This window comes from Homo sapiens, chromosome 6 (genome assembly GCF_000001405.40).
Source record: "Homo sapiens chromosome 6, GRCh38.p14 Primary Assembly".
Lineage (NCBI taxonomy): Eukaryota > Metazoa > Chordata > Mammalia > Primates > Hominidae > Homo > Homo sapiens.
In genome coordinates, this window is record NC_000006.12 from 24,322,222 (window position 1) to 24,342,572 (window position 20,351).

Here is a 20,351-nt window from a genome sequence, read left to right on the forward strand (position 1 = left end):
TAAGCTCTGATTTTTTATCTTGCCCAAATTCCTATCTAAGGGGTCTGGGGAGTCATAACCTACAAATCATAAATTCTCATCAGATGGGTTTTATTTGACCTTGCATATCGTGACTTACTTTCCAATCTGATTCTGGCATAACAAGGAAGAAAATAAAAATGTTTTACCCTAAAATATATTTCCTTGCCATACCTTGAAATTGCCCTGCAAAGTCTCTTGTGGGAAAAATCCACATTCTATACGAATCTCCTTTCCCCTTTGTTTTCCTTCCTTTTTTTTTTTTTTCCAGATCCAGGAGATAATCAACTAAGAGCCAGGTACCCTTTTAAGTCCAGTAAGAAATAATTTACAACCTGCTCTCTCTGAAGTCTGCTATCTGAGAGCTTCCTCTGCACAATAAAACTTGGTCCCCACAATCCTTTGTCTTTAACCGGAACATTCTTTTCTATTGATCCCAGGTCTTTGGACAAACTCAACCAATTGTCAACAAGAAAATGTTTAAATTTACCTATAGCCTGGAAGCCCCCACTTTGAGTTGTCCCGCCTTTCTGAACCAAACAAATGTATTTCTTTAAATGTATTTGATTGATGTCTCATGCCTTCCTAAGATATATAAAACCAAGCTGTACCCCGACCACCTTGGGCACAAGTTCTCAAGATCTCCTGAGGGCTGTGTCACAGGCCATGGTCACTCATATTTGGATCAGAATTAACCTCTTAAAATATTTTACAGAGTTTGACTCTTTTTGTTGACATCTCCAAAAATGAATCATTTCAACCCGATCACAAGAAAACACCAGATATGTCCTAAATTAAAGGACCATCTACAAAATAACTGACTTGCCAGATATGGTAGCTCACACCTATAATCCTAACACTTCGGGAGGCCGAGGCAGGAGGATCACTGGAGCCCAGGACACTGAGGCTGTAGTGAGCCAAGATTATGCCACTGCACTCCAGCCTCCAGAGCAAGACTCCACCTCAATTTAAAAATAAAAATAACTGACTTTCAAAATTGTCAAGGTCATGAAAGACTGAGGAACAGTCACAGGGTAGTTGGTAGTTTGGTAGTTTTCTATCAAAACAACCTAGTTTTGGCAGAACCTAAGGAGATAGGAACACCAAACAAGACGTGGGATTTTAGATGGGATCCTGGACCAGGAAAAAAATATCAGTGGGAAAACTGACAAAATTCTAGTAAGATCTGTAGATTAGGTAATTGTATCAATTTTAATGTTCTAGTGTTGATAACTATGCTATGGCTATGTAGGACATTAACAAAGGAACTGGGTGAAGTAAGGTATACAAAGAATTCTCTGTAAGTTCGGCAACTTTTTTCTAAAATCATTTCAAAATGAAAAGTTCAATGAATATAATGCTTAATAGACCTTAATGCAAATAAAAGATCTAATACATAAGAGACCTCTCCCTGTCTTCATCTCTCTCCCTGTCTTCTCCCAATAATCAAGCACAAGTATGTACTTACAGTGTGATAAAAACTACCACCTGAGGCAACCAGCAACAATCTCCATCTGTAACTAGACTACATTTAAGCACTTAAGCATAAACTTCTGTCATTTGCTTACATTGGGTTTTGTTTTAGTTTCAAAGAAATTTGATCCTCTATTACTTTGTGAAGCAAGTTGAAAAGAACAACAAAAAGTACTCAAACTATATTTAACACTAAAGTAATTATTTATCATACCACTAAAACAGAGGAGAAAGTACAGTTAGCCCCTGAAATCACTCATGGGTTTTGTCACTAATATTCAGAGGGAGGTCTTTTTTCACATACCAAGCTTATTAGCTCAGAACAGTGAGAAACAATGGCTTGTAGTTAACCAGTGAACCAAGCTTAATTGGAAAAATATTTGCATTCCCTAAGGGTAGAGCTGGGTCAAAAGAACCTCACTTTCACATCAAAACTGCACCATCCAGGAGGTCAAAGCACCTGATGTAGATACAGAAGAATGCTCAAGGTTCAGTGAGTTTTTTCCTCAAAAAATGTAAGAAGCTCGCAAAAAGTAACAGTTTAAAACTGTCAATGGCCCCAGTGACCACCCCCTTACCTAATCAGCCCACTGTAAGCTAATCTCTATCCTACTAGAATGAAACACATTCACCTAAGAAAGGAAAATGAATGACAGTGAAACTGGTTTAAGAAAAACACATAAAGAAATAAAATCTGTATTTGGTCCATCCAGATTTGCAGAAGCAAAAGCAAAAGTTGTTTATGATACTGAGTGTGTCTCACTTGTTAATATTTGTTAGCAAGAAAATCAAAGTCTGTTCCCTATTTGTCCCATCTTTTTCATATTTTGCCTCGTCTCCCTGGATTGTTTGGGTGAGGGTAGCTCATCAAAGAGCTATGACACTTTGGGGCCAGGCACAGTGGCTCACACCTGTAATCCCAACACTTTGGGAGGCCAAAGCTGAAGGCTGGCTTGAGGATAGGAATTCAAAAACAGCCCGAATAATATAGTAGACCCTATCTCTACAAAAAGTTAAAAATTTAAGCAGGCATGGTGGCTCATGCCTATAGTTCCAGCTACTTGGGAGGGTGAGGTGGGAGGAAAACTTGAACCCAGGTGTTCAAGGCCACAGTAAGCTATGATTGTGCCACTGTATTCCCACATGGCTGACAGAGCAAGAGCTTGTCTAAAAAAAAAAAACAAAGAAAGACAGAAAAGAAAGAAAGAAAAGAGAGAGAGAGAGCTATGACACTTTGGCATCTCAAATAGTTCAACTACATCAAAGACAGCACAAGAAGTAGAAGAAAGGATTTCACATTAAATGCAATGAAGAGTAAGGCCATGTTCGTCTTACTCTCAGCCTGCCTACCACAGAGAATGCCTTGGAATCAGAGGTTCCCTGAAGAGACCCTCTCCTCTTAGAATAATCCAAAACCAGAATCTCCAGAGCCCCGTGGTCAAAACTAAAACGTTCCATCTAGGAGTGAGAGAGCACGATATCTACTTCCTCACACTTCTCCTCGGTTCTCAAATAAAAGCGCTCACTTACATTTGCCATCTTTATTCTGTGATCCGTTTTTATGTTACAGCAAATAAGCAAATTATGAGGTCCTCTGGGCGAAAGGAAAATCAGCATGGAATGTAAGTTATTGTGCCATCTAGAGAAAATGTGAGAGGCTGGAAGCCTCAATCAACTGTCTTCCTTGAAGAATAACCTAGATCTTGGCTCCCACTGGCAAAGATGAGTGGGGGTTATTGTCTTCTCTAAGAAACTAAACGTCCCTCACATGCTTGAAGATGTCGCAAGGGAGACCTGATGGCCCCATTTCTGTGAGGTTGTTCCTCAAAGAAGAATCAAAGATTTCAGTCACATTAGCATCATCATGTTCTCTTAGTCCAGAATTTTTCAGCAAACATATTCCACAAAATTTTCTGCAAGTTCAGGGTACATATAGCAGGTGCAGTGGATTTTTGTTATGTTTTAATATAACATACTAGAGAAAATCCAGAACATTCTTCTCCCTCTCTCTTCTTCATCACATTCACATCTCAGCCTATAGAGCAGAGTTTATTCCTTAGTATAATATCAAGGCCTGTTTTAAAAATATATATATTATACATGTGAATGAGAAATGAGTCACATTTATTTTACCATGTCTCTGGTTTTTAAATAAAATTAAAAGGTTGGGAAACTGTTTTTCAGTGTCACAACCTCTCTGTTCTTACTACCATAATATTTACTTGATATTATTTCAGTTCTTCCTTCCCCACACCCATGTTGAATCCCAGACCACAAACTACTGTAATTTTTCTTTATTATCAACATATGTAGGAATGCAGAATTAAAATTATTGATCAAGTTTCATGCAAAGTTCCAAAACCAAAGAAAGAAAGAAAGGAAGAGAGGAAAAAAGAGAGAAAGACAGGGAGAAAAATAAAAAGAAGGAAAGAGAGGAAGGAAAGAGAGGAAGGAAAGGAAGGAAGGAAGGAAGGAAGGAAGAAAGGAAGGAAGGAAAGAATGAAGGAAGGAAGGAAGGAAGGGAGGGAGGAAATCAGACCTTTTCATTTCATCGGGATACCTACCACCTCTCTTTTTGACTCAAGCTAATGTTAAATGTTAAAAAGAGTCTCCATTTTTAGAATACACCAACCAATAGAAGGACCCCCCCATGCCCTAGAGCTCCCTGGATAGTAGAAAATTAGTCAAAAATTTAAAATTTACTATAGATGATCCATAAAATTAAAAATCATACAAAGCATGTTAAGAGCTGGGTGACATATATATATTAACTATAAAGAGAGCAGATATAGAAAGGAAGCCAACATTTATCTAGCAGAAGAAAAAAACACCATCATTTGTATCAATAAAAAGCATGTATGATGAGCGGGCATGGAGGCTTATGCCTATAACCCAGCACTTTGGGAGGCCGAGGCATGTGGGTCGCTTAAGTCCAAGAGTTCAAGACCAGCCTGGGCAACAATGGCAAAAATCCGTCTCTACTAAAAGTGCAAAAAATTGGCCAGGTGTGGTGGTACATGCCTGTAGTCCCAGCTAGTCAGGTGGCTGAAGCAGAAGGATTCCCTGAGCCTGGGAGATCGAGGCTGAAGTGAGCCTTGATCATGCTACTGCACTCCAGCCTGGGTGACAGAGCGAGACCCTGTCTCAAAAAAAAAAAAAAAATGCATAAAAATGTTCATTTACATCCTCATTTAACCCATACCATACTGTATTCTACTTGCAGTATTTGCTAACTACTCCCCAGATAGATGGGCTCACTTTGAGGCCAAGGATTGTGTTCTACCATAATCTCATTCCTTCAGCACAGCTCAGCACCTGGCAAATTGGAGGCAACAAATGTCTATGGATCCCTCTGTAACCATGAACAAGTCAGTCAGGGTAACTGCACTGTCAAAACTTACAATTAACTGGATAGTATGTATTTGATGAGGGGAACTGAATTACAGGGAAACCTAGGTTAGGCCAAGTGTTGCTTTCGTCACCAATTCACAGTTAAGGAAACTGAGGCCACGGGCCACCCAGCTTAGGACTTTTGACTATAAACCCTGAGATCTCTCTCCCTTACATAAGCATTTTGTTTTCATTGCTGTTGACACTTTGTTAATCTTGCTTACTTAAAACTAATTTCTGCTAATAGCTTCAGGGTCTTTAGCAACTGTCAGCATGTAATGTGTCTGCATTTCATATATATAATTAGTTTTCATGGCAACAGTCCACTTTTAGTCAATCAACATTATAAACTTATTTATTTATTTATTTATTTATTTATTTATTGGCTGATACGGAGTTTTGCTCTTGTTGCCCAGGCTGGAGTACAAGGGCCCAATCTTGGCTCACTGCAACCTCCGCCTCCCGGGTTCAAGCAATTCTCCTGCCTCAGCCTCCTGAGTAGCTGGGATTATAGGTGCCCGCCACCACACCCGGCTAATTTTTGTATTTTCAGTAGAGACGGGGTTTCACCATGGCAGCCAGGCTGGTCTCAAACTCCTCACCTCAGGTGATCCAACTCGCCTCAGCCTCCCAAAGTGCTGGGATTACAAGTGTGAGCCACCGCGCCTGGCAACATTATAAACTTATAATGAATTTATGGAGTGTTACTAGTAAACAAAATGAATATTCTTTAAATAAAAAAAATTTCTAAAAGCCTCTCAAATGTGCTTGTCTTTCTCCTTGCATTTGCTAGTCTCTGCTTAATATATGTTTAGCTTGATGCATTCTTTGATGCCCAACATGTGTTACTCTTTGACAGATGGCAGAGATGGCAAGCACAAAGAAATGAGATTCACGCTATTCCATTTGCATGGATGAAAATACAGACACTTTCTAAGTGAAGTAGAAATTCTCTGACAATTAACAAGAAGAGTTTCTGTGTCCGAGATATCTAATAAATGTTATTTGCTCAAGAACCAAAGAGAAATACTTTCTTCAAGGGCATACATCTCCTCTGTATATACAGGAAACTTGGTAAGCCCTATTGCTCAGGTCACAGAGTAATTCTAAATCCCCTGCCTACTGGCACTGAGTTGTTGACAACTGAGGATTTTAAAGTGGATTCCCTTGTGTAGATTTACATTTACGATTATTAGATCTCTGAGTAATAAGGAGTTTAGATTTCTGTAAAGTACTCTATAAGGAATATCAAACTGGCTGTACTTTGGACATCTGAATATGCAAGGCTTATAAGTTCAACTAATTGAGGCCATAACTTGTATCTGAATATCTTAGGGCACAGGGGGAGTTTGTATAGTTTGAATGTCCCAAGAGTTGAGAATCCCTGCTTTTGGGACTTGTTATAGCCAGAGCCCCCTTCTGCCAAGTTTGAGGGCCAAACCCACGCCCATGGCCAATCATGCCCCAGAGGTATATTGATCAAACTAGTAGCCAACACAGCTGCTAAATTTTATGGTTCTATGTCCCTACTCCTGGCCTTTTAACCCACCCTCAATGGTCCACTGAACTACTGATTTTTCGAAAACCACCTCCTCTCTGAAGTGTCCTTTCCTTGATTCCCTTATCATGCAATATTAATTGCATGCCCCTTGAAATGCTTATCAACATTGGGCTTAGACACTGTGAAGCAATTACTACAGGTTACTACAGTTATTTGTACGCATATCTACGCTTGCTGGACAACAAGCTCTTCCTTGGAAAGCAGGAGCCACATAGTTCTCATTTTTCATCAACATCATGTATCCGATACATGATAGATATTTACTTAATATTTCTTGATAACCACAGCTCTAAGATAAACATTAGTTTTTTCCAGTCTCCACAGAGGAAATTATATTATAGGTCCTAGAATCAGGATTTAAACTTAAGGCTATTTGTTTCCAAAATTCACGTCTTTTCCACCATGCCATGCCATGCCATCTCTCAATGATAAACAACGCAAAACAGAAGCATTTAGGTAAAAAATGATGAGCCCTCCCTACTGACGGAAACACATAAATGAAAGTTTGGAGAGATGATTCAGGCTAAAGAAGCTTAATCACCCAAAATGTAGGCAGTAAATGTAATCAAAGAGGTATGCACACAAAAAAATAGCACAACCGAAGGAGAATATTAACCCTCATTCCCTTTGCACAGAAGCTAGACTTCCTGGACAGACTTTATCATTTGTTTGTTTTCCTGAGTATGTAAGTATCAATATTAAGAAGAAAAACAAGCTGAATTAAATCTCTCTTTTCAACTTAGGTTTATTGAAAGAGTAGTTGAAAAATATACCATTGCTATCCTATTTCATTTCAACTCCTCATTTTCACCCTGCAATCCCAAAATTATAATGGTACGGTAAGAAAGAATGGTAATAACTTGGAACTTAAGATACAATGCAGACAGGCAACTTGGGCAACAACTTAACATTAGCCATCCAATATTCCAAACAGAATGGGGAATTGGAGTTAGAACCAAGCTACCCATTGCCATGATTCATCTAAGTTTTGCAACAAGAGGCCTAGCTTGCTTTGTGCCTTAGTTACATTCAATACAAATAATTCAAGGAATCCATGAGATGACACAAAATCCATCCCACATGAAACATTCTTTCCTGCGCTATCTTCTATCAGCATTTATTTTTATAATACCAAAATGAAGACATGAATGAATAAAAAAGGGGGCAGGCAGGGAGAGGCTTGTGTTCAAATGCCCACACTGTGTTCCTTTCCATTGAATTGTAATACTTGCATGGTATGAAATACTGGAGGAAAAACACATTTATTTAAGAAAGCAAGTCTCTTACACTTTCTTGAATACAAAGAAAAAATTAGCTACTTTACCCCTCAAATGAAAAAAGAATGATACTCCATCCAGTGTTAGTCCCAACTAAAGTCTTCAGTGAACCCATTATCAGGGACTACTGTAGAATTATTATTATTTTTTAAATTCCACTAAATGTGTGTCAGAATTACTGTACCCCAATTAGCAATAACCAAAATGTAGCAGTCAGTTTTGTTTGCAAGGGCTGTCTAGTCAATTCCTGGCTGATCCCTCCTGGTATTACTTTCATTATGAGCACTCAGAAGAATAACTGTTTGGATGGCTTGTTGTGGCAATTACGTTTCCAGGTTACCAACTACCAAACAACCCCGGGCTGAATGTAACTTCTACACGTACTGTTCCAAAGACTCTAAAACCTGCCCTATGTATCAAAAGATAAATTTCAATCTTCACACCGTGGGGAGTACAATAATAAACCAAAGTAAAGGGTCAGGTCACATTGTACAAACATATTGTTTGGGCAACTTTGCTCTAAAAAGTCATTTTGTCTAGCTTCAAAAGGAGAAGGAATTTGGCCTCTAAAACTATCAGAAAACCTTTTAAAATGGACCACCACAAAGAACACTTGAAAGAATTTCTCTCTTGTAAATTTGCTTTGCTAGTGTGCAAGGCAGGCTATCTTTGCCATTCAATACTCTTTCATCTCTTTCAAGATTAGTATGTTCACACAGGATCCCACAGCTCAAGGGGGACAGAGAGAACTTAGAAAGGAAAGAGTGGGCAGCCATAGCAACTGAGGGATGGAGAAACAGGATCCACAGGGAATGATGTTTGAAACTGAAATTATTCTATCTGAATAAGAGAAGTCTAGGTAGGCTGTGGTTTAATCATATTTTTCAATACTGCGATGAACCCTTACGCAGCAGAGTAGTGCCAAAAAGGCTTAAATTGCAGTTTTAGAAACTAGGCATTTTTATCGTTTATAGATGAATTATAACAACTGGGATATTTACTTTAAAACTACAATATTTGAGGAGAAAAAGAATATTGAAATAAAAAGAAGGCAAAAAAATGAAGGCTTCTTCCCTGTTCCTTCCAGGATGATAAAGATATATATTTGCTTTCTTTTGTTTCCAGCTCTTCCTGGCATCTTCCTTCTTTCACTCAAACAGCTAATGAAATATCGCCCCTTCTATAAAATCTTTCCTATCTAACTGGAAGACGGGAAGAGAATTCCCTCTGGTAACAATGTATAATTCCCATAGCTCTCTCTACTCAACCCTTTAAAGTGCATTGAGCCATTGCTTATACAGTGTTAATAAATAAAAGTTAATTCTTAGTTTGAAGTTTTTTAAGTTGTCTATATATACCTTTTTTTTTTTTTAATTCAGAGACAGAGTCTTGCTCTGTCACCCAGGCTAGAGTTCAGTAGCACAATCACAGCTCACTGCAACCTTGATCTCTTGGCCTTAAGCGATCTTCCTGCCTTTGCCTCCTGAGTAGCTAGGACAGGAATAGATGATATGGACTAGAATGGGTCGTATATTATATACAAAATGGTAATATTTTAAATCTAATCCTTTATTTGATATGCGATACTAAAGTACAAAAGTTATTGAATAATTATATTTAGAATTAACCTTTATTATATCTAAATAGATATTTGAATCTCGTCAGAAATATTTGGATATACTCAGCAATATCTAAATGCTTTTAAGTATTTTTTATAATTATATAAAGTAACTTCTTTTAGATTATCTGCATGTGAGTATACAGATTTCTCAGACTAAATTGTACATGTAATAACATATTTCTACTTGATTCTGATGACAGATTATATTTCAGGAGATCAAACTCAGTAGCTTCTTCATATTCTTTTTCCAATATTGGTAATCCTCCACAGGAAAAAATTTCCAAAAGAAAGTGTTGCTTCCTCAGCAACCAGAAAACCAAGAAGGAGAAATTATGTATAGATTGGAATAAACATGTTGCACAACTATTTTTTAAGTGTATTTAATTCTGAAAGCAATTAGGTGAAAAATCAGTTCTTCATTTCAGGAGGCTAAAAAATAAGAGATTTGGAAAGGAAGAGACCCTGTGTGAAATTCACAAAGTAACCATCAAATATACTGACATCTAAAGGCATGCGGTAGCTACATATCTAAATGAATTGTAATTGAAATACATTCCCAGTGTGGGAGACTGTATTTTCCAAAAATGGCCACAGCAATATTTCTGGCTCACATTCTTTTTTATAATTTTGCCACTTCCCATCAAGAGATGGAATCTATTTCCCCTCCCCGAAAACCGGGATATGACTTCGGACTGCCTGGAAGAATAAATGCAATAGGAGTGATGCTGCGTGATGTCCAAGCATCTTTTCCTCGCAGTCTCCCTCTTTTTTCCTGCTCCCAGCTTAGAACTCCACCACCATTCTGTAAGGAAGGAAAATCTAGCCCACAAGAAGAGACCACATGGAAAAGTCAGGTGAAGAGGAGGAACCAGGGCCCAATGACAGCCAACATTAGTCACCACTCATGCATGTGTAACAGCCCTCAGATGGTTCCAGCCTACAGCTTTTAGATCTCCAGCTAAGGCTCCAGACATCGTGAAGCAAAGAAAAGGCATCTCTGCTGCACCCTCCCTGAATTCCTGACACACAGGAATCCAGGTGCAGAATAAGTCATAGTTTTACGGTACTAAGTTTTGGGGTGACTCACTATGTTGTCTTAATAATTGGAACAGTTTGTTTGTTTTTTTTAAACTAAGCAATTTAAAACATAAAAGAACAGTAGTATTTAAAGCAAAAACTCATTACAGCCATTTTCATATATTAGGAAAACAGCATGATTACTATTCATTAAATACACAAACACACACACACATATTTCTGTGCACAAGACACTGTGTTTGATGCTGGGCTGGTATAAAAATGAGTATAAACAGGCATGGTATCTAACCTCTTGGAGTTTACAATCTAGGAGGAGAGTTAGACTTCAGCTATGCAACCCCACAAAGGTAAAATTCAGCTGTAGCAAGTGCTGCAAAGGAGAAAGGCCTGATGTATATCAATAATGGGGAACTGACCTAGTTAGGAAAATCAGACAAGACTTCCCTGAGGAAATGACACTGGTGCTAGGGTAAATATGAGCAAAAAAGGCAAAAAGAAGAATGAGGGAGAATGTTCCAAACTCAAGAGAACAGCCATGTGCAAAGGCCCTGAGATAAGAGGTAGCACAGGTATGCTGTGGACAGAAGAAAGGCCAGAAGTCATGCCATGTCCCTTCCATTGCATTTTATTCTTCCAAGTAGTCCCAAGTTCCATCCAGGTTCCCAGAGAGAAAAAACATACTCCACTTCTTGAAAGACGGTGGCAAGGTCAGAGAAAAGAGAGCAAAAGGAAGTGTTAGACTGTGGATCCTGAAAGGTATGACGACCCCAGAACACACATAGTATCTTTCAGACTTCTATTGACCAGAACTCAAAGTAAGAAATACGTCTTATGTTGCAATCCAATCCAATTCACACACACACACGCAACCAAAATCACAATTTCACAAAACAGTACTTATCTTTGCTATCTCTAGTGCAGCCTGATATGTTCTATTTTATGTTTGTATACATTTGTCACAACTACCTAAATTGATTTTCAACGTACTGAAGATTCATGAACTGAAGTCCAAAAAACATTGATGTAAAGTCTTGCAGGCTAAGTTTAAGGCATTTATCTTTATGCTAAGAGTAACAGGAAGTCACTGATGAGTTTTAAACTCAATGGTAACAGGATCAGATTAGTGTTTCCATATTCTGGATGAAATAAAATATAAAACAGAATGCAAAAGCTGAATGGGTGCAAGGAGACACAGTAGGAGACTACTGAGGCAAATCAGGCAAGGTGTACAGTAGCTTGGGTTATGATGGTAGAGGTGGCAGAAGTGGAGAGAAGAGGGTGAATTTCAGAAACAGGAGTTATAACTGATGGGCATGATTAAGCAGTGAGAATAAGGAAGGTTTATGACTCTCAAAACTGGAATGGATAGTGGGAAGTGAAGAGAGGAGAAGGAACATAGGAGGAAAGTCAGGTATAGAGCAGGGAAGATAGCCCTTGCAAACAAAACCGGCTTCTAGTTTGTAGTTATTGCTAATTGGAGTACAGTAATTCTGAAGCATGATTAGTGGAATTTGTTTTTAAATAATTCCATAGTCCCTGATAATGTCTTCACTGGAAACTAGCTGGAACTAACATTGGACAAAGTATCATTCTCTTCTGAAGGTTGTACATAGAGAGTCAAATGAAAAAAACAAAGGTATTGTTCTTTTATCATGGGTATACTTACTGGAAATGCTGGACACAATATGTTATCTTGGATAGCTCTGAGTTTTTGCTTAGCTAGTTGACGAAAACCAGGACTTGCGGTGGCCCTCATTAAATAAGGTTAAGATGCCAAATTTTCTTCAAGGTAACTCAGAGCAGAGGTTGGCAAACTATGACCTATGGGCCAAATTCTGTCTATCTTCTGATTTCCAATAAAGTTTTATTAGAACACAGACACACCCATTCACTCACAAATCATCAATAGCTGCTTTCATGCTACCACAGCAGAGTTGAGTAGTTACCACAGTGACTATATGGCCTGCAAAGCCTAAGTTATTTACTATCTGTTTACAGTAAACATGTAACTTAGAGAAAGGGATTCAAAGGCTAAAGGAAACAGAAATTGTGGAGTAGCTTTGGCATGAGCACCCCACCCACTAATCTTCTATCTATGTAATTCAAGTGAGGATCCCAAACACACTCCCTTCAACGAGGCCTTGAGAAACACACTGGTGAAGAATGTTGCTCCAGCAACTCTAAAAGTACTCTACTTGTTGTTCTCCCTAGACCAGACATGCTGGTGGAAGATGCTGCATTTGAAACGGGCTTTCTGGTTTCAGTGATGTATCAGGATCCTGGGGTGGCAAAAGGAGAAAAACAGCACTTATTCTCCAGAGACAAAGCAGGCAGAGCAGTCACAAGAGGGCGGCACAGCAAACATGGTAACCACAATCAATGGATTTTATGATGGTGACTAAATGATCACGAGATTCCCAAGATTAAAAGACTTGTACAACCCTCTACTTGATTTGTGTAACAAAAAATAGCTAGATCATGTAAACTGTGGCCTGATGTAAACTATCAGTCATCTCAACCCCACAGTCAATTACCAGACCTGACAGCCCCCAAAATTGAAGGGAAGACCTGGTACTTTGCTGAAGGATCCTACAATAATATCACAAGTAACTGCTTTGAGTCTTCCTCAAAGTCTTTTCAAAGCACACAAAGCCATTCACCAGGCAAATGTGCCCTGTGAGAAGTGAGATAGGATGCGATAACTAAAGAGACTTGAGGTTGCCTCCTCCTGAAGAGGAGGAGTGTATTTTCAAAAGCATTAGAATTAGCGGCATTAATTTTGGCAGAAACAAAAGATATGTGGTTATTCGACCATCAAAGGATGTATAGTAAGTATTTGTCATATTTCAGCTTTCCAGCATCTGAATGCGTTTTCTATTTGAATAGAATTCCAACCATATGTGTCTGGCAGGGAAGCAGATCCCACCACCACCCACAGAAGGTAAAAAGGCCAGATGTTCACTTTGTCAGCCTATTGCAGCCAAGCCCACTGTATTTGTCTGTTTTCATACTGCTATAAAGATACTACCCAAAACTAGGTAATTTGTAAACAAAGGAGGTTTAATTAACTCACAGTTCTGCATGGCTGGGAGGACTCAGGAAACTTACAATCATGGCAGAAGGGGAAGCAGGCAACGACCTTCTTCACGTGGTGGCAGGAGAGTTAGCAAGAGCAAGGAAAACTGCCTTACAAAACCATTAGATCTCGTGAGAACATATTCACTATGAGTAGAACAGCATGGGGGAAACTGCCCCCATGATCCAATCACCTCCTACCTGGTCCCACCCTCCACATGTGAGGATTATGGGGATTACAACGAGATTTGGGTGGGGACACAGAGCCAAACCATATCACCTAGCTTGGCCCAGTAGTCCCACCCAGGCTTTTACGCCAGTACTGATGGACCAACAAAGCAAAGAAGGTATAATCATGCCATCAACAGCAACCAAATCCAGGTTCTAGAGGAAGTATTTACAATATCCACTGTCAAAAGTTGGGGGCAGTAGCCTAAAAATCTGAATGTCTCCACTGTTCAATGGTGGTGGCAGGACTGTCTTTAATGGCTTGGTCCTGGTGACATAGTGTAATCTGGGTTCTGGCTGTCTTGATTTCCTGGCTGCTTATTCTCTCAACGTAGTTCTCCAGCCCCACCAGAGATTTTGAAGGATATTTAACATATTTTCAAAAATTCTTTTTCTGCTAAAATGAAGCAGAGACTTCTTTTTTTTTCCACTTATTGCAAGGAAAACTCTTGGCTAATTCACAGTGTATTTTACTCTCTCTGTATCTCTCAGTCTTTGTGAAATTATGCAAACCCTAAACATGTGAAGAACAATTCCAAGATCCAGTCACACATAGAAGTATATTATGTGCTATTTTATTTGCTGAAATATTTTCCTTTTCATATATTTATATAATAATGATCTCAACTATTTATCAAACATTCACTCTATGATTACTTCTTTTAGAAGTAATGATAAGTATCACATAACATTTGTAGAGGGATTTGTAGCTGACCAAGCATTTACATTTACATTTACATTTAATGTGCATTTGCATTTTCTCCTTTTAGTCACAGCCTGATAAAGCAGCCAATATAATGTCAGTGATCCCTGCCTTTTTTTTTTATTTTTTTTTCCAAATACCCAGTCTTCAAGAAGTAAACCCTGTCTTATTTCACTTATGAGCTATTCAATTAATGTGGCCCTTTGTAACATCAGCAACAACATGGCATAATTTCCATTTACTGAATTCTAAATATGTATTAGGTACAGTGCTAGGAGCTAAACACATACCTATATGTTTCTAATCCTCACAATAATTTTTAAAAGATAGTAGTATTATTTTCACATTTTAGATAAGGAACATGAGGCTCATAAAGATCAAAGAACTGACACCTTGAGATCTTGGGGAGAAAAGTAGCTTGTCTCCAACACATGATGCTCTCCCCTATTATCTTCCTCCCATCCTTCAAGTTGCGTTTTTTGCTTAGTAACTTGGTAAATGTTACTCGAAACATCTGGAAAAAACAGCTAAAGAAACCAAATGGCCCTTTGACAGTAGCACAGTAAAAACTTTTTAAAAATGCATTCAGAACTTAAAGTACAATAAAAATAAATAAATAAAAAATGCATTCAGTGATTCTCAGCTCTATATATCTCTCTGTAATCTCTTCACACTCTGTTGTAAATTTCCATGTAAAAATATTTCTGGTTTCCTATGGGAGCCTTTTTATAAGCAGATATGCCAAAGCCTTTTCAAGCACTGTATTGGAAACATTCAACATAAATATCCTGTCCTATAGGGAATATTTGCAAAGCCAAAAAAAAAAATGTCAATTGAGAATACAACTAAAATAATTCCCGGCAATATTTTGTGACTAATGATGACTTGTTAAAGAAGAGTATTAAGAGCCAGGCACGGTGGCTCACACCTGTAATCCCAGCACTTTGGGAGGCCGAGGTGGGCGGATCGCTTGAGGTCAGGCATTCAAGACCGAGGTGGCCAACATGGTGAAACCCCATCTCTACCAAAAAAATATAAAAAAATTAGCTGGGTGTGGTGATGCGTGCCTGTGATCCCAACTACTTGGGAGGCTGAGGCAGGAGAATCACTTGAACCTGGGAGACGGAGGTTGCAGTGAGCTGAGATGGTGCCACCGTACTCCAGCCTGGGCCATAGAGCAAGACTCCGTCTCAAAAAAAAAAAAAAAGACTATTAAGGAAATTGAAAGAATATTTTATCCCTTTTCTGGATTCACTTCCTAATTCTTTAGTCTTTCTTATATATTTTATCCTTCTTATCATCATTAAATCAAGGTATTAAAAAATTTTAAAACCCTTCACTCCCACAAACATCCTTTCAAGTGCAAAAAGACACTGAATGATCATCTTTTAATTAAATTGCATTAATTCTTAGGAAACGCTTCCTTCTGCATTAACACACAATACATGAACACACAGTCCCTCATCTGTGAGCTCTTGAGAAACATGTTTTCATTATCAATTTCCTCCCATGTAAAATCAGAATAATAACAATCCCTACTTCATAAGGTTGTTGTGAGGATTATATCATCTTTGTAAAGTACTTAGAACAACACTGACTAAACACATATCAAAGAAATACATACACACACATGTGCACATGCACAAACACTCACAGTGAGTTCCAGTTTTGTGCATCTTCTAACATTTAGGCTGGCTCAATATTCAAAAGTTAATGCTTCAAATATCTCTGCCTGTCACCGCCATTAAAAAAAAACAACAACTGTATTCCCTGTCTTCACGAAAGGGAATGCCATCTATCCAGTAGCCCAGGCCAGAAACTCAAAAATCATCCAGCTAATCTTTCTTCATTACCCCACATCCACTCAATCACTAAGCTCTGTTTCTCAAATCTAATCCTTCCACCATCTCAACAGCCTCTCCCATCATGAGTGGCACATTTACCTCCAACACATGGTCGCCTGGCCTCCAACCTTGCTGTAGCAATAAGAGTCATTGTGTCAATTCCCTGATGAAATCCCTTCAATAGCTTTTGGTTGGTTTTATTTATTTAATTTGAGACAGAATTTCACTCCTGTTGCCCAGGCTAGAGTGCAATGGTGTGATCCCAGCTCACTGCAAACCTCTGCTTCCCAGGTTCAAGTGATTCTCCTGACTCAGCCTCCCAAGTAGCTGGGATTACAGGCACACACCACCACGCCCAGCTAATTTTTGTATTTTTAGTAGAGGGGGTTTCACCATGTTGGCCAGGCTGGTCTCAAACTCCTGACCTCAGGTGATCCGCCCACCTCAGCCTCCCAAAGTGCTGGGATTACAAGTGTGAGCCACCATGCCCAGCAGCTTTTGGTTGGTTTTAGGAAAAAGATAAATTACTTTTTAAAACCCCTGATGTTGGTACCTCTCTACCTCCCATGCCTTATCTCTCACATAGTTCCATTCCCAACCTTCTATCCCAACCTCTTCCCGTGATTCAGCCAAACAGCACATGTATGTTTCTCAAATGTACCCTGTGCTCTCTCATCTGCAGACATTCACACATGTCATCTCCTTTGCCTGCAATGCTCTTCCTCCTTCTGCTTGCCTGGTGAACATACTCATTCCCTTTAGGTCACAACGTATATATCATTTCTTCCAGGAAGCTTCTGAGGATTCCCCTGGCTTATGGTAGCCATCCTTCCAGCAGCCTGTGCCGCCTGTATCCTCCCACACAGCACACTTCGGATAGCTTGCGTACGGCCCCATCTTCTCCACTACACAGCCAGCTTCAGGAAAGCTTGCCTTGTCTGATATATTCACCATTGCAAATCCAACTAACATAATGCCTGGCACATAAACTGGTGCTCATATCATTTTTTTGATGAAAGAATTTGTGATGTTAATTTTTTACCACCAAAACGTGAGAGCCATAAATTTGTGACTAGTGTCATTCCCTTGGGGTCCAAACCCTCCCACATGAAAGAAGGCTTAAAATAATAGCAGAGACCATAGATCAATTCATCTGCAGACTCCTCTTCTCCAATTGCTGCCAACAAAACCATCTTTGTAATCCTTTAGGATCACTTTGATGGAGTACTAGGAGAGTGCCATTATGATTTTATAATTCTGTCTGTGTACTCAGAGTAATTACATGGTGCCTGGGACACACAAGCTAAACTAACATTGTTACAGGTTAAAATGTGGACATCTAACCAAGATTGTCTATGAATGGATATATTTATAATAAGTGTTGGATGGGTCTTTTGACACCAAATTTGATGCACACATCAAAATTGATCCACTAACTTGATGCTATAAGATAGAGAGAGCAAAGGGAATTCCTAAAGAGATGGAAAATTATCATTTGAATATGATTATACATAAGGAAATGAATTGGTGAAGCGGTGGAGAGGAATAGAGTTTCGGAATAAATAAGAGTCACTAAGTAAAAATGCTGAAAATTCCCAGTAGACAATCACATTGCTTGGATTGCATTATATACATGTTCATGCAGAGATGAACATGTAGATGAATGTGCCCTGTGCTCTCTCATCTGCAGACGTTCACACATGCCATCTCCTTTGCCTGCAATGCTCTTCCTCCTTCTGTTTGCCTGGTGAACATACTCATTCCCTTTAGGTCACAATGTATACATCATTCCTTCCAGGAAGCTTCTGAGGATTCCCCTGGCTTATGGTAGCCTAATAGGTGAGGAAAGTCAAAGTTAATCAATATTATTGATAAAATTAATTAAAATAGAAATAACACAAGGGAATAGCAATCTGATTAGAAGAAGTACCGGCTAGCGGAAGGGCAATTTAATTCAATTTTCATATACTATTTGACTAAATTAAATATTAGTCAGTTGAGCCTTCATGCAAAACAAGCTATGCATTTGCAAAAGCCATACTAACAGAATGTATTTGCTGTAGTAAAAATATTTTTAATTGACACTTCTTTTTTTAATCCAGCTTTTAAAAACTAGCATGGAAGATCTAAAACTAGCTAATGCAAAATTTGTAATACTGGAAATCTAGTTATCCACTCGTTTCTAAGAAAACAAGCCATGAATATGGAGTTTTATCACTTAGAATATAATTAACAAAATGCAACTTGAATGATATTAGATGACTTATTTTCTAAAAAAAAAATTTTGTTTTTTTGAGACAATGTCTCACTCTGTCGCCCAGACTGGAGTGCAGTGGCAGGATCTTGGCTCACCGCAACCTCCACCTCCCCGGCTCAAGCAATTCTCCTACCTCAGCCTCCCGAGTAGCTGGGACTACAGGCACGTACCACTATGCCTGGCTAATTTTTGCATTTTTGGTAGAGATAGGGTTTCATCATGTTGGCCAGGCTGGTCTCAAACTCCTGACCTCAAACGATCCACCTGCCTTGGCCTCCCAAAGTGCTGGGATGACAGGCGTGAGCCATGGAACCTGGCCATTATCTAAAAATTTCTAAAAGTTGGCAGCCCAGTTACATATGGCTATGTAATTTGAAATAGCAAAGATGGCCATAGAGGTTCACAGATCTTTGAAACACAAACATACTCACTGCTAGAAAGAGGGAAAAAATACAAAGCAGCAGAGATTGCCATTTGAGATTTCCTAGAGAGAACAGTTCCAGGTTAAACATTAGACACTGCAAATATAAAAAGTCAATTTATTTGTCTCTCTCCCACGATCCTTCACCACTTAAAAGTTCTACCCCCAGCTAAGAGGTGGGCTGAAATCAACTTTATTTCAACAAACCAAACATCCAAACTATGTAATCATGGGATGACATCTGAGTTTGATCTGGCTGGCTGCTTATAAAGGAGGCTTTCACAATGATACATGGGAATTTTCATTGTTGACCAAGCTAGACACTAGGGCATACTGCCTGCATATTTCCTGCTGAAATCAGCCAAGTGCAAATAGAGACCTACCTTTTTTTAAAAAAAAAAAATGCCTCCATCCATCTGTTTTGAACTATACTGAAACTTATTTTATTTTACACATAAAGATAGGACTATTAGCCTCCTACTTTCGAGACATGGACCTTTTTAGTTGTTTTCTGAGTTCGGTCATAGATGTAGGCTGAATTACATGTATACTTTCCCACAAACCTTAACCAGTACCACATTTGAGAGGACAGCTGGTTATTTAGGGAACAGTCTGGGGCCAGGGACCTAGTAGATCTAAGAGTGGGATTCAAGCCCAAGTCCTTGGCCTCATTAGCACAGTGTTCTCACCAAACTACCCTTCCAAGAAAAGTCCAAAGATTTATTGCTGCTCTAGATCTTTGAAACAAAGTTTCCCAAAATCCAAAAATACTTCCCCAACAATCAGACATGTAAGAGGGCGCACGCATGTGTGCACGCGTACACACACACACACACACAAACACACAGAGAATTTGTTCTACATTAAAGAGAAATAAAATTTAAAGTGTTTAACCCAATAAGTTTCTATATCCTAATCAAATGTGAAAGCATCCTCACAGATGACTTCATATACTGGTTTCTTATTACTGACTCCTTTGGGCTTTACTTCCCTTATTCCTTTAATGCATCTTTGCTGGACATACAGTTAGTGGGGGAAAACTGAAACATCTCTTTAGGTGGTTGCTATGTCCGTCCAGGGTGCTATGCTACCTTCAGTTCTAAATATGAAAACCATACGGCAAAACAGGAATATTCCTCAAACCCTTTACTTTCACAGTGTTGCTTCAAATTGTGTTACTTTTTTGCTTAAACAATATTGACTGTAAGTCAGAAAATCACAGCATCGCATGTTTATTTGCATGGAAGAACTCTCTGAAACAGGAAATCAAGACAGGAGGTGTCAATACGGACTGCTGCCAGTCACTCCGGCAGTCTTCTTGCACCAGCCACTTCTCCGTGGAGTGTGGCAGCTGGGCAGCGCTCCTTCTGGGCTTCCACAGGAAGGCTCTGACCCCGAAAACCTTAGATTAGAGCGCATTTTGAAATTTAAATAAGCCTCAATTC

General features: G+C 39.0%; 1 protein-coding gene across 2 annotated transcripts in view, besides 1 other annotated feature; it reads right to left on the reverse strand.

Moving 5' to 3' along the window:
- Positions 1-20,351, reverse strand: part of DCDC2 (doublecortin domain containing 2) — a 211,538-nt gene that overhangs the window by 150,467 nt on the left and 40,720 nt on the right. The window lies entirely within an intron of this gene.
- Positions 1,507-2,204: an enhancer, noted in NCBI's record as "NANOG-H3K27ac hESC enhancer chr6:24323956-24324653 (GRCh37/hg19 assembly coordinates)". NCBI's record gives its function as "activates a minimal SCP1, AML or CMV promoter by ChIP-STARR-seq in naive H9 embryonic stem cells {active_cell/tissue: H9 hESC(naive)}" and the evidence as "EXISTENCE:reporter gene assay evidence [ECO:0000049][PMID:30033119]".